The sequence below is a fragment of the Homo sapiens genome, chromosome 1, assembly GCF_000001405.40.
Source record: "Homo sapiens chromosome 1, GRCh38.p14 Primary Assembly".
NCBI lineage: Eukaryota > Metazoa > Chordata > Mammalia > Primates > Hominidae > Homo > Homo sapiens.
In genome coordinates, this window is record NC_000001.11 from 210046151 (window position 1) to 210062282 (window position 16132).

Below are 16132 nucleotides of genomic sequence, written 5' to 3' on the forward strand. Positions count from 1 at the left end.
ACTTGAGGTCAGGAGTTCAAGACCAGTCTGGCCAACATTTAGGTGAGATCCTGTCTCTGCTAAAAGTACAAAAATTGGCTAGGCATGGTAGCAGGCACCTGTAACCCCAGCTACTTGGGAGGCTGAGGCAGGAGAATCGCTTGAACCCAGGATGTGGAGGTTGCATTGAGCCAAGATCACACCACTGCACTTCAACCTGGGTGACAAAACAAGACTCAGTCTCAAGTAGAAAACAAACAAAATTTACTCATTTCAAGTGTACAAGTCAATGATTTTTTTTTTTGTAACTTTACTGAATGGTATAGCTATTACCGTAAGTTATTTTTGGAACATTTCCATTAGCCATTCAGATCTGCCATGCCTATTTACAGTTAATCCCTACTCTCACCCTCAGTATCAGGCAACCACTCATCTACTTTATATAAATTCGCCTATTTTGGACATTTTATATAATTGGGATCATACAACGTGAAGTCTCTTGTGTCTGGCTTCTTTCACTTAGCATGTTTTTGAGGTTCATCTGTAGACTTAGCAGGGTCAGTATTTCCTTTTTATTACTGAATGGTACTTCATTGTATAAATATACCACATATTGTCTATCCACTTAACCACTGATGAACTTTTAGGGCATTTCCAGTTTTTTACTATTAGGAATAATGCTGCTATGAACATTCACTTGCAAGTCTTTGTGTGGTTGCTTGTAAGTATTCTAAAATCTCTGTGTACATTAATACCTTTAATCTTCACAGCATCTCCAGAGTTAAATAGTATTATCATCCCCATTCTATAAAAGAGGAAACTGTAAAATTATATTAACATCATATAGCTACTAAGTGATGGACCCAGAAATCAAACCAGTCTGATTCCAGATCTCCTGTTTTTAATTCTATAATTAATTAATTTTATATTAATGTGTCTATCATATTGATAGGTATAGTTAAATAATTATTCTAATTAACTTAGATCCACCATTATATAGTCCTTTTAAACCGGAATTTAAGTAAATATTACTTTATCATTAGATTTATTATTAGAAATTTTTATGAAAAGGATAAAGGTGGCCTTATTCATCCTTCTTTGTCTAGCACCTGTCAAAGAGTATGGCACATAGAAAGGTAGCCAATAAATGTTTATTGAATTAATATAGCCAAAAAATAAAAAAATTATGTGGATTTTTCTGTTGCTTAGGTATAGTTTTTTTTCATTATTTATCCTTTTCTTGTGTATCCTAATTTGAAGAATTTACTTGATTTTATTTTATTTTTGAGATGGAGTCTCACACTGTCGGCCGGGCTGGAGTGCAATGGCGCAATCTCAACTAACTGCAACCTCCGCCTCCCAGGTTCAAATGATTCTCCTGCCTCAGCCTCCCGAGTAGCTAGGATTACAGGCACCTGCCACCACACCCGGCTGATTTTTTGTATCTTTAGTGGAGATGGAGTTTCACCATGTTGGCCAGGCTGGTCTCAAACTCCTGACCTCGTGATCTGCCTGCCTTGGCCACCCAAAGTGCTGGGATTACAGGCGTGAGCCACCGTGCCTGGCCTTGCAGAATTTAATGTAGATTATATTTTCAATGCATTTCTGATTAAATATCCTGAGACTACTACAGATGTTTTAAGATACTATAATTGGCAAACAGGTTGACTGTAGCTCAAGAATTGGGAATCCAAGTTATATGTTATGCAAAATATGAATAAAAAAGATGTCCACTTTTTTCAGGTTGATTTTTGGCAGGAATACTATGTCAGTGAGATGTCTTCAGTGTGTTACATCAGGGACCACATGATCTCAGATATTATTGGTGCTACTAACTTTGCTTGTTTAAGTGGTGTGGTGTCCACTAGATTGCTCCATTTTGGAAGACCTTTTTCCACTTTTTCGGGAGTAAATAATTTCTGGATTGATACTTTGAGACTGTGTGAATATCCTGTTCCCCAATACCTAGTGGTTTTAACATTCATTGATGATTCTTGACTAAATCAATTATTACCTTTTTCTTTAGTATTGATACTCATAGATTCTTTTTCTATTCAGTGTTATCCACTCCTGTCATTTTTTATTTGGATCCCCAAATTGTCTCAAATTGGGCTATCAATTGTTCACTCAAACCGACTCCCACATCTTTTTGATCTGTATGTGTCCCTGTATTAGTCCATTTTCACACCACTGATAAAGACATACCCAAGACTGGGCAATTTACAAAAGAAAGGTTTATTGGACTTACAGTTCCACATCACTGGGGAGGCCTCATAATCATGGCAGAAGGTGAAAGGCACATCTTACATGGTGGCAGACAAGACAAGAGAGCTGCTGCGGGAAAGTCCCCCTTTTAAAACCATCAGATCTCATGAGTGAGACTCAGTCACTATCACAAGAACAGCGCAGGAAAGATGCACCCCCATAATTCAGTCACCTCCCATCGAGTGCCTCCCATGTCACATGGAACTTGTGAGAGTTAAAATTCAAGATGAGATTTGGGTTGGGACATAGCCAAACCACGTCATTTCGCCCCTGGCCCCTCCCAAATCTCATACCCTCACATTTGAAAACCAATCATGCTTTCCCAACGGTCCCCCAGAGTCTTGTCTTATTTCAGCATTAACTCGGAAGTCCACAGTCCAGCATCTCATCTGACACAAGTCAAGTCCCCTCTGCCTATGACGCAGTAAAATCAAAAGCAAGTTAGTTACTTCCTAGATACAATGGGGGTACAGGCATTAGGTAAATACAGCTTTTCCAAATGGGAGAAATTCACCAAAACAAAGGGGCTACAGGCCCCATGCAAGTTTATAATCCAGCAGGGCAGTCAAATCTTAAAGCTCCGAAATTATCTCCTTTGACTCCATGTCTCGCATCTGGGTCATGCTGATGCAAGGGGTGGGTTCCTGTGGTTTTGGGCATCTCCGCCCCTGTGGCTCTGCAGGGTACAGCCTCCTTCCTGGCTGCTTTCACAGGATGGTGTTGAGTGTCTGCGGCTTTTCCAGGCACACTGTGCAAGCCATTGGTGGATCTCCCATTCTGGGGTCTGGAGGACAGTGGCCCTTTTCTCACAGCTCCACTAGGCAGTGCCCCAGTAGGGACTCTGTGTGGGTGCTTCGACCCCACATTTTCCTTCTGCCCTGCCCTAGCAGAGGATCTCCATGAGAGCCCCACCTCTGCAGCAAACTTCTGCCTGAACATCCAGGTATTTCCATACATCTTCTGAAATCTAGGCGGAGGTTCTCAAACACCAATTCTTTTTTTTTTTTTAATCTTTTATGTGGATTTTGATTTTTTTTCTTTTTTTTTTTAAATTATACTTTAAGTCCTGGGATACATGTGCAGGACATGCAGGTTTGTTACATAGGTATACATGTGCCATGATGGTTTGCTGTGTCCATCAACTTGTCATCTACGTTAGGTATTTCTCCTAATGCTATCCCTCCCCTTACACCCCACCCTGCTGACAGGCCCCAGTGTGTGATGTTCCCCTCCCTGTGCCCATATGTTCTCATTGTTCAACTCCCACTTATGAGTGAGAACATGTGGTGTTTGGTTTTCTGTTCCTGCCCAAACACCAGTTCTTGACTTCCGTGTACTCACAGGCTCAACACCACGTGGAAGCTGCCAGGGGTTGTGGCTTGCACCCTCTGAAGCCACGGCCCGAGCTCTGTGGTGGCCCCTTTCAGCCACGGATGGAGCAGCTGTGATGCAGGGTATTGAGTCCCTAGGCTGCAGACAGCACAGAGACCCTGGGCCTGGCCCACAAAACCACTTTTTCTTCCTTGGCCTTCTGGACTGTGATGGTAGGGGCTGCGGTGAAGACCTCTGACATGCCCTGGAGACATTTTCCCCATTGTCTTGAGTTTTAACGTTTGGTTCCTCATTACTCATGCAAATTTCTACAGCTGGTTTGAATTTCACCTCAGAAAATGGGATTTTCTTTTCTGTCACATTGTCAGGCTGCAAATTTTCCAAACTTTTATGCTCTGTTTCCCTTTTAAAACTGCCTTTAACAGCACAAAGTCACGTCTTGAATGCTTTTCTGCTTAGAAATTTCTTCCGCCAGATACCCTAAATCATCTCTCTCAAGTTCAAATTTCCACAAATCTCTGGGGCAGGGGCAAGATGCCGCCAGTCTCTTTGCTAAAACATAACAAGAGTCACCTTTGCTCTGGTTCTCAACAAGTTCCTCATCACTGGAGACCACCTCAGCCTGGATCTTATTGTCCATATCACTATCAGCATTTTGGGCAAAGCCATTCAACAAGTCTATAGGAAGTTCCAAACTTTCCCACATTTTTCTGTCGTCTTCTGAGCCCTCCAAACTATTCCAACCTTTGCCTGTTACCCAGTTCTAAAGTTGCTTCCACATTTTTGGTTATCTTTTCAGCAGGACCCCACTCTAACTGGTAGCAATTTACTGCATTAGTCCGTTTTTACACCACTGATAAAGACATACCTGAGACTGGACAGTTTACAAAAGAAAGAGGTTTATTGGACGTACAGTATCACATCGTTTGGGAGGCCTCACAATCATGGCAGAAGGTGAAAGGCACGTCTCACATGGTGGCAGACAAGAGAAGAGAGCTTGTACAGGGAAACTCCCCTTCTAAAACCACCAGATCTTGTGAGACTCACTCACTATCATGAGAACAGTGCAGGAAAGACCCACTCCCATATAATTCAATCCCTTTCCATTGAGTTCCTCCCATGACACACAGGAATTGTGGGAGTTACCATTCAAGATGAGATTTGGATGGAGACACAGCCAAACCATATCAGTCCCAATCAGGTCTTGAGTCCTTTCTTCCTTTTAATCCTTTTGTGAGGAAGGACATTTAGAAATGAAGATCTAGGTGTGCTTGTTACTGCTGGGTATCATTTCATCTAGGCTCTTTTAGTGAACAGTTTATTTTGATACCACGCATTCAATCCAGTACCAGAGTTCTTCCTCTTATTTCTCTTTTCTGTATTTGTATCTCTCTTCACCCATAGAACTGTGGTTCCTAGCAAAATTCATGTATGTATTAATTTGCTCAGTCCTACGATACATATAAAATAGTTTAGGTATTGCTACTTAAATGCCAGTACCAATAATAAATCTATTACATAAAATTCAAGAATTTTGGTTGCGTAATGTTTGTCCTCAGAATATATCCAATAAGGTTGTACAGTATACTGTGTTCAAAAGTTATTTGCATTAATTCTTTTTTGTGGTTATCTGTTTGCTATGAATATAGTTCACTTCACACTTTTTATTTCATTCGATGTTGAGTTTTTCAATTTGTTTTTGAATATGTAAAACATTAGTCTAAATTAAAAGCTAAATAAAAACATATACTCAGATAAATCCCATTTCTTTTTTATTTCTTCTGCTTCATTCCCACTCACCTGTGTAGATAACCACTTTTTTTAGTTTCTGGCTTATCATTCCTGTGTTTTGTTTTGAAAAAATAATTATGTGTGTCTTGTTATTTTCCCTTCACATAGAATACTACATATGTGTGTATGTGTGTATATGTATTTTTTCTTTTGCATTTTTCTTTTGTTACTTATTTTGGAAACCACTCCATATGAATTCACAGAAATCTCCTTCCTTCTTTTTTACATCTGCAGGTTATACTTCTGAATAAGCTCCTAACTTATATTCAGCCAGTATCCCACGTTCATGAGAAATACCTACCTTTCAGACCACTTTTTATAGGATATTAATATCAGATTCTTTGAAAGCATAATTAGCCTCATATCTGTGTTACTTTCTCTCCTTTACATTTAATATGATTGAGACTGCTAACAAAATCTTAATTGTTTTTAGAAGATTGTTGGATTTCTTGTCTGCTACTTATGTTAACTTTTGGACCCTTTTTTGCATATGTATAGTCAAATTTCTTGATTTGTATCCTGAACTGAAGTCAATCAGGAACACACTGTTGTCGAATTGTTAACAATAACTTGTTAAATTCTTTTTGAGCTCTTGGTTAAGTTACTCTTTAAGAGCAATTTATTTGGATTCTAATTATAGAATTTTCAGTATATTCTGGCTGTTTGAGTTTTTTCCCCCATGACAAAGTGTTTGGAGCAAATTTTAGGGTTTTTTTTTTCTGATACAGAGTCTTGCTCTGTCGCCCAGGCTGGAGTGCAGTGGCGCGATCTCGGCTCACTGCAAGCTCCGCCTCCCGGGTTCACGCCATTCTCTTGCCTCAGCCTCTGGAGTAGCTGGAACTACAGGTCCCCGCCACTCTCCAGACCTGGCGCAGTGGTTCACGCCTGTAATCCCAGCACCCTGGGAGGCCGAGGCGGGCGGATCATCTGAGGTCAGGAGTTTGAGACAAGCCTGGCCAGCGTGGTGAAACCCCGTCTCTACTAAAAATAGAAAAATTAGCTGGGTATGGTGGCGGGCGCCAATAATCCCAGCTACTCAGGAGGCTGACGCAGGAGAATCACGTGAACCCAGAGCCGGAGATTGCAGTGAACTGAGATCACGCCACTGCACTCCAGCCTGGGCAGCAAGAGCGAAACTACATCTCACCAAAAAAAAAAAAAAAAAAAGCTCTCCAAGCACAGAAACAACGGCATTCTAAAGCAATTTATTAAATATTAAAGAGTTGACAGGCAGAAAACATTATAAATGCTTAGGAGTCCATTTAATAAGTTGCTAACAGGAAATTATTGAGGTGTTTAAATTTTTTAAATAAAAAATAGTTCCATATACCCATTATAAGCTTATTTTCCTTTTATTAAAATTTAATTCACCTTTAATGTTACCTTTAAATTTTAGATGTGATATTAAATGCCAAGATCATTCTGCCATATTCTCTACATTTTCTTATGACTACTACTAGTATTACAATTTTATACAATATCCTACATGACTACAAATTTTCTTTCCTTTATTTGTACATAAGGACAAAGCCCAGATCAAAGAAGGGCAAATTACACCAGAACATGGAAATAATTGTATCCATACAATATCAATATAGATCAACATTTTAATTTAACTTTTTATGTTCATGCATAGAAGGTAGAATTATATTGTAGTAGAATCTCCTTTGGTTTTTTATTACAGTGAATCACTAATTTATGCCACTGTAATTTTATTTTTGAATGCCTGCTATGCTATGCACAGAGATAGAAAAAGAGCTGTTTAAGAGAAGATTAACGTCTTTCTGCCAAGTTGAGAAGCAACAGGTGGTTTGTGTGCTGAAGTAATAGTAGTGGTAAAATATAAGACTGAAAAGTTAAATTGGTATAGATCATTTAGGGTCTTAACTGATGGGCCAAGCAATTAGGACTGCTTTTTAGGCAGTGAAGGCCATTAGAAGATTTTAAACTAAAAGCTTTACATGACCTGACTTTTGCTTTAGGAAGATAACCCTATTAAGTCTATGAAGAATGGATTGGAGCTGGTGGAAATGAGAGGCAGGAAGATGAGTTAACTGTTGAGGCAGGAAAATTGTTTGGTTTAGTTGAACAGTAATAGGTAGCTTGTCAAATAGGTAAATGTAACAATTCCTAGCATTCATTAGGTAATTTTGTGGATTGTGTCTATAGTTTGAGTGCTTACATGTTCAACTTCTGGTACCAATCTCATTGAAATCTAGAGCCGTTAACTGTTATCCTAACTCTGGTCTTATCATCACAGCACCTTTAATTTTCTATTAATTTATGTATGTAAGTATATTACAAACTCAACAGTCTTTTTTGTTTGTTTTTTTACTTTCTCATTTTGGTATAAAGCCTATCTTCCAGTAGCTTCCAGAGAAATAGTGTATAGCAAGTGAGCTTTTTGAGATGCTGCACATTTGAAAATCTCTTTATTCTAACTTGTAATTGATTAATGGTTTGGCCAGGTATAGAATGTCAGTTTGGAAATCATTTTCCTATAGAATTTTGAAGTCATTGCTCTATTGTCTTCTCACTAATAGTGTTGCTATTTTGGTTCTCATTTATTTTTAGATATTTTATTTTCTCTGCAAGTTTTAATTATTATTCTTCCTGTGTTGGGAAATTTTGTAACATTGTACCTGGGGTACAACTTTCATTGTTGATGCCAGGTATTTGGTGGACACTTTCAGTTTGAATATTCATCTCTTAAGATGTAAAAAAAAATTGAATCATTTATTTCATAGTTCCTTCCATTTTCTCCTTTGTTTCTGGCAAGATTATTCATTTGATATTGAAAAGCCTAGTTTCCTCCCATACTGTAACTTTCTGCTATCACATTTTAAAATATCGAGTTGCTTCTCAGTCTCTGATGGTTTCTTACTTTAAGTAATTGTTCCTATTTTATGATTGTAATATCTTTTCATCACTAAGGATATTCTTTTCTTCCATCTTAAGCCTTTTTCTTGTTCTTATATTACATTTTCTTTTTTTTAAGTCTCTTGTCTTTTATATTGGAGGTTTTCTCACATATGTAGAGATTGTCATATGTAACAGTGATACGTAGAAAAGTAGATTAGAAACTGTGTGCCTGGACTGAGTTTGTTATCAGTGACTTCACTGCTAGTTGATTGGGAAGGAATATGACCATTTCATTTCAGACTCCCACATGTCAGTGTTTATAACTGTTGTCTCTTAGGCCCCTTAATTTTTCGGAATAATCCTCCATTATCCTCATTATCCTGCTTTTGTTGAGAAGTGTGATATACTGCTTGGCTGCAGCACTCTTGGAACTGAGTAATAAAAGGTAGCTGAGCATTTAACTGTTCATCAGATTTTCACTTAATTCTCTGTTTTCAGAGGGGGAGTGCTTATCCCTGTTTCCTCTTATGCCTGATGTTCCTTAATTGGATTCTTGGGTGCCTATTATAGAGGACACAGTTTGGGGTGGGAGTGTTGATATTGCTTACTGGGCAAGCTTTCATCTGCCTACTCTTGTTTTAGCATACTTCTTACCCACTACCTTCTAAGGTACTAATGCCTTCAATTCCTGAGCCTTTCTGGACCTCTGTTGAGTGAAAGGGCTTGTTTCTCATCATATTCTGATTTTCACATGAGTCAAGAGATGAATAAGCTGTGGAAAAACTTAATTCTGATCCTGTCTTCAGTGATTATTATCTATGTGATATAATAAACTTTTCAGAGTCTTTTCTTAAATGTAAATTGTCTAAAAATACTTGCCCTAAAGAGTTAGTGTGAGGACTAGAAATACTGCATGTCTTGGGATATGATAGTTCTGAATAAATGGTAGCTATTAACATATTTGTATTTATGAAAAGTCTTTATGTATAAAATTAAATAGGTATGCCCATTGATAATTTGTTGAAAAAAGTAAAAGTTAATGAACTTCAAACTATCTAAAAAATGGGAACAGCTAGCTTTTAATTGATGTTTTATTGATTGAGAGGGCAAAATATGTTTTTTTTCCTATTAGAATGTCTTAAAAATAGAATTGTTGGCCAGACACGGTGGCTCATGCCTATATTCCCAACACTTTGGGAGGCTAAGTCAGGAAGATTCCTTGAAGCCAGGAGTTCGAGACCAGCCTGGTCAACATAATGAAACCGCATCTCTACAAAAAAAAAAATACAAAGAATTAGCTGGGTATGGTGGCGTGCTTGGGAGGCTAAGGCAGGAGGATCACTTAAGCCCAGGAGCTCAAGACTACAGTGAGCTATGATTGTTCCACTGAACTCGAAATTAAAAAAAAAAAAAGGATTGTCTCCCATATAAAAAGTTAATTTGTTATAGTTATTGGTTATATATCAACTAAAATTTAAGTCAAAGTGAGTTCTCAGTTACCATCTCCAGTTCACCTTTAACCATTTAGAAATCTCTTCTAAGTAGGTGTTTTACTTCTCACAGAACATTTAGAAACATCATGTAAATAAGATTTTTGATGCTATTTTTAAAAAATGCTATTTTGCCTAAGACTAATCCTCATTTCAGATTTAAAACTCTGTAATTATACAGTTAGAGGCAAACTTTATTTTATATTCACTTTAAAAATTGATATAAATTAGCACCCAATGTGAAACTTACCTTTATAAGTTTATGTTCTTTAAAGTACATTTGATGACATCGTATTATAAAAGCTGTACTCAACTAAATATTTCCAACATTTATCCTTATGGAGCTGTTGTCTCTCAAGAGCTTTCAGTGAAACTGTGGGTGAAGGAATCTATAGGGCATGCAACTAGATGAGAATTGAACCAACTAAAAGGTAATTGAGACCTCACCCCCCACCAAAAAAATATTCCACAAGTTTTAAACATGTTTTTCATTAAGGGGTTCTGTGGATCCTTGGTAGGGGTTTGTTCTAGGAGTAAGATAAAATGAGGGTCAGGGAATCAGAATGAGGAGGCAGAGCTCGAGCTCCTTATTTCTTCTTTTATTAGTTTAAATAGATTAGATTTTATTTGAACAAAAGGTTCTATAACTAAAAAGTTTTTTTGGGGCCGGGCACAGTGGCTCATGCCTGTAATCCCAGCACTTTGGGAGGCCAAGGCAGGCAGATCATGAGGTCAGGAGATAGAAACCATCCTGGCTAACATGATGAAACCCCGTCTCTACTAAAAATACAAAAAAAAAAAAAAAAATTAGCCGGGTGTGGTGGCATGTGCCTGTAGTCCCAGCTACTCAGGAGGCTGAGGCAGGAGAATCACGCCACTGCACTCCAGCCTGGGCAACAGAGCGAAACTCCGTATCAAACAACAACAACAACAAAAGTTTTTTTGAAAGCTTCCAGTTGTTACTATTATTATTTATTTATTTATTTATTTTTGAGACTCAGTCTTGCTCTGTCACCCAGGCTGGAGTGTAGTAGCTGCAGTCTCGTCTCACTGCAACCTCCACCTCCCAGGCTCAAGCAATTCTCCTGCCTCAGCCTCCTGAGTAGCTGGGATTACAGGCGCACACCACCACACTGTGCTAATTTTTGTTCTTTTAGTAGAGATGGGGTTTTGCCATGTTGGCCAGGTTGGTCTGGAACTCCTGACCTCAAGTGATCTGCCTTCCTCGGCCTCCCAAAGTGCAGGGATTACAGGCATGAGCCACCACGCCCGACCCCAGTTGATATTGATAATTGAAATCCCAAGATTGGAGACAAACCCAAACATGAGGTAGTATAAATATCTAAATTAACCTTTCCTTGTTCTCCCATTGTTTAAAACCTTCTCTAGTTGGCCAGTTCTTTGCAGAGGTAATTTGGTCATCATGCATCATGGCTGACTTTGTACCTTTGTTAATATTGTACCCCAGTTTGAAACATTGAACCCTCTTTCAACCTATTTAGCACTGCATTTCAAGGCCAAAGTTAAGGCCAACTCCTGCCATGAAGTTTTCTTGCCAACACTCTCACAGATTAATCTTTCTATTTTCAGAATTTCTATAGACCTCGGTTGCTTTGGATATTCTTTTGTTATGTACAGTAACTTGTTTCACTTCACTTTGGTATGAGTTCCCCGTATCTCACATAGTGCTTGCTGGATGCAAATTTAATAAATCAATAATTTTTTTATTTAATTGGAACAAAGTTATGAACTTGATTTTTCTAATTAAAACCTCTCTTGCCCTTATTACCATTAGCCTTTGATTTTGTTAATGATTTATATATTTGGACTTCTTGAGTTTCTTGAGTTTGATTCTTTAACATTCCTTATGATCTCTTTCATTTTGCATTCATCTTGATATGGCCACAAAATGGAGTAATAAATCATTCATGTTTGACAGCTAGCTATACTCCTACTTCCCCATAGCCTGACAACAGAATACTCCTTCCATATGCAGATTTCTTGTGACTATTTGGGGGTAAGGAGGACCATCTCTCAGAATATACAGAACACATAAACTTTCTCTCCCTGTGTGTTCTTACATAGGCATTTGATTAGGTTGTACATTTAGGTCTATACCTACCACAGATTATAGTGATGTATAAGAAAGATTGTTTGTCCCTATATTAATTGTGTTTGTATCAGGATGTTTAATGGGACTTTTCTTGAGGGTTTTGTTATTCTGGAATCGGTGACTAGGGACCGAAAGCTGGAATAAAGAGGTAATAGTAATTCATCTCTCTATCTAAAATCTTGAGCTAACAGCCATTGACATTCTGGGTCAGAGACTTCCCTACGTATTTATTATGAGGTAGTCCAAACTGGTTTTATTGCTCCCAAATATCAGTCTAACTGCTGTGCTCCCACTCCCACACCATATCAAATAAGCAGGAGATGAGGTAGGGGGAGAAAGAGAGTTGGAGTTTTGAAGTTGGGAGGTACTGTGGTTACAGCTCTTCTGCCTCATCGTCTTTTTCAGTGGGCACTTGAGATTTGTGAAGAACACGGAGATATTTTTGAGGCTCCCTTTGAAGGAGCATGGAAAATAGAGGAGGCAAGAGTTATAGGGCTAATCAGGCAACCAGCAAACCAGGGAATTTGTTACCTAATTAGGGGATTAGGAGTATGGACTGCTGACCACAGGGGAAGACTTGGCTGCCCTCCTCTTGGTAGTTCCTCCGTGACTGCAGAGGCTGAGATGAAGCTGAATATCACCCAAATGAATTATCTGCGTAATTTATGAAGAAACCACCATATCAGCAAAAGCTACCACAGCCAACCAGTGCTAGAGTGAGGTTTAGGGTACCTTTCTACTACCTGCATGCAAACAGTAAGGCAGTCTCAGCAATTTCTGCTATTCCTGTTCCTTACCCCAACACATCAGAGTAATTAGAGGTGGAAGAGAGGGGAAAATGTTCCCGAATGAAGTCATTCAAGGTGCTGGATGGAGTAAAGAGGATTAAAAGTGCAGACCTCACTTTGTCTCCCACTCAAAAGTTCCATGAACAGAAGCTTAGCTGGCATCAGAGGGAGGGAGTAACAAAAGCAAATACATATATAGTGCTTGCGATGTAACAGGCACTGTTTTAAGCCCTTTACTTATATTAGTTCATTTAATGTTTTGACAGCACTGTGAACTATGAACTATTATTAATTCTGTTTTACAAGTTAGAAACTTAGATATAGAGAGGAAATTAAGTTAGACCTGGGAATGGAGTTTTAAATTCTACTAGCTTTAAATTCTACTAGATTCTTTACTAACAGAAAGTGACTGGTAATGAATGAACTCTGCCTTAGGATCAAATTAAGGGCAGGATGAGAGAAATTCACTATCATACAATTAAAACATAAGGATTAGAATAAAAATTTCCCATGCAAAAAATTCCTGGGAATTTCCCATGCTAAAGTCCCATACTAATTTGGGAATTAATTTGATGGCTAAGAGTTGACAAATTCTCTTACTCAACCTGAGTAAGATAAATTATATATATACCTGTATATGCATGATGACAAGAAAGAATATATATATATATATATATATATAGAGAGAGAGAGAGAGAGAGAGAGAGAGAGAGAGAGACATGAATAGGATTACATTAACATTATTTCCAAAATAATGGCAACTGAAATAATTACTGTCAGAGTTGTGGGCCCTAGGATGTAAAGAGGCTGTTCTTTCAGTTCATGCACTGCATGTTTTCTTCCCAGGGTGTGAATGCATTGCCAGAATTGGCAGGATAAAATAATTTATTAGCCACCACATTGCACTAGGGGTCCATACTCTTCTCTGACCTCAGGCCCGATAGCCTGATATGGCTTTCTGTGAAAGATATCTCCTTTTCTTATTGTGAGTGTTAAGAGTCTCATTGCACTTTTCAGAAATTTGGATTGTTACATTCACTTCACCCTCTAATTTGCAAGACATGTTTATATATAGTCTTAGTTTAAGATGCTTTCTCTGAAGGCATCTCACCCTCCCATATAAATCAGTGGATGCAAGTTTATCTACAGTGGGTGGAGAATGAGGAAATGGGGTGGGAACTGGGAAGTGGGAAATTGAAGGATATGGGTGCCATCTAATTCCATTGTATGAGAGGTATCTGCATCTCAGCTCTAGTCTAGCATTGGTCCTTGCTACATCTGTTTCAGCATTGGAATTATATGCAACTTCATTTGTTTTTTCTTAAGCATAACTTAGACGTAGTTAGAGCCAATGGGTATGGTTGTATAGGTCTGTACTCAGGAGACTTGTAAATAGCAGACATGGTTTCTAATCTTACCCTTTGTATAAACTATTACCTTAGGCATGTCACAGGCTCACGTTTCCTTTTGCACAAATGTTAAGGTTAGGCAATGCGATCTAAGGTAAGGTCCATTCCACTTCTCACATTTTGAGTTCCTATGTTCCTAAGTAGAGCTACTAAAATTGCATTTTATTGCCTTTATAATTGCCAGCATAATATGTAAAGTTAACTTCAAAAAATAAACTGGTATGCGGTTTATATTCTGTAATCTTTCTTTTAGTTCTTTTATATAGCTACTTTTCTAAAATTTATCATTTGTCTCTATGTCAGGATTAACGTGAGAATTCTGTGTGCTTTGAACTTTGGTGCTGTATTACAAATATTCCAAAGTAGGTTTGTAAAGGAAGAAAACTCTGAGCCAATTACTTATTTACCTTTAGAGAGGTTTAAAATATTCATTGGTTGTACTTGTGGGCAAAAAATATGGAAATTTAAAGGGAAACAGCCCTCTAATAGAAAGGAAAAAATATATATATTCAATCCATGGGCCATGCTGCTATTATTGCTGAGTGAGATCACATGTCCTTTTTTAGGGCAATTTTCCATTTGCTGTTGCTGTTATGATGTTAAATTTCTATGCATCATTTTCTCCAGCTTTAATTGGCAGTTGAATTGCTATAAAACATGTTTTTCTGCTATTTTCTTACAGAATACTTGGTGAATAGATTTGATCAACAGCGTTATCTATAAACTCCTAATTAAATTCAGGGCTTAATCAATTAAGACATCTTTGATTTATCTACTCTGTCATCGTTATTTAAGTTTTTTATCTTTGCAAGAAAACTGAAAAGATATGTTTTGTTTACCTGAACTAGATTCTCTGTCTTCACTGAAAGGACTTCCATGCCTTTATTGTATTTCCCAAAGGCCTGCCATTTAATCTTTTTTTTCATTATCTCAGATACCATTGAATCCTTTTTCTCTATCCCATTAATTTCATCCTTCATATTACTACACCTTGACATTAATGGCCTGTCATTGTAGAGGATATTATGTTTGGTATGTCAGTAATACTGAATAGGACTAATACGAAATTTTCATAATTGAGTTGGGTTGCATGAGCAATGATGTTCGTATCTGGAGGGTTTCTTTAAATGTTGAGTCAAATTTGAAGCTTCTGGGAAGAAAAATTATCAAAATATATGCGTTTATTCTTGCCTATGCGAATTTTAAATCAGAGGCTAATCAACTGTGTGTTACATTTCAAGTTATTGGTAAACATTTATGTTCTTAGTAGCCTCAAAAATAGATGTTTATAGACTAAGGTTCAGTTATCTTTTTTTCCTTATTCTTTTAAAAGCAAATATCCACAGTAAAGGTGACATAAACTAGAGTCTGGTATAATGGATATTCAATGCTGTATCTTGACATGCTTAACTAAGAAAACTCAATTTAAGTTTGATAGACTTGAGCTTTTACAGATGAGGGTCACTTCTAGACATGTAACTAGTTATGGAAATTTAGTAGTGGGGTTTATACTTAAGGAATTTAAATGAAACTAACTTTACTGATACAAAAATAGTAATCTGAATTTAAGTATTAAAAGTATTCTCAATTCACAATATAACTTAGAACTTTGATTTTGTAATTTTATGTACATGTTGTTTGTTGGCTAAACTTCATATAATCTATTGTTATATTGTGAGCTTTGCTATTTGAATCTTATTCAGCTTTGTCTCTTTCAGTATTTAGAGTTAATTTTCTAAGACTACTGTAGTTGCCTTATTTTTTCAATTATCTCTTTTTTTCAATAGTGTAAAGATCTATTATACAGTGGCTTTGCATTTTTGGCATTCCATTGCAGAAAGTATCAATTTGTCACATAAAAAGAAAAATTAGATATACTTTATTCATGTTAAAGTAACACCCTAGCTTTTTTAAAGGCAGCTTTGACTTAGACTTCCAAGCCTGAGGATATTGATTTGAATTATGCATGACTGTCTGGTGTGCAGTTGCATTAGCCTGCTGGATGGATAATGTAAACATGTTCTGAATTTTAAGTACACGACAGTATATGAGTGGCAGGTTAAAAATAGAACTAATAACCAAGTGCATATTTGGAAATTTGAT

General features: G+C 37.4%; 1 protein-coding gene across 17 annotated transcripts in view, besides 1 other annotated feature; it reads left to right on the forward strand.

The window, feature by feature from the left end:
• SYT14 (synaptotagmin 14) overlaps positions 1-16132 on the forward strand; it is a 233173-nt gene that overhangs the window by 107934 nt on the left and 109107 nt on the right. The gene's annotated exons all lie outside the window — the stretch shown is intronic.
• Positions 10863-11032: an enhancer, noted in NCBI's record as "experimental_2861 CRE fragment used in MPRA reporter constructs". NCBI's record gives its function as "activates a minimal promoter by MPRAs in K562 erythroleukemia cells, with activity observed for both the introgressed and non-introgressed 1:210230443 variant alleles {active_cell/tissue: K562}" and the evidence as "EXISTENCE:reporter gene assay evidence [ECO:0000049][PMID:34662402]".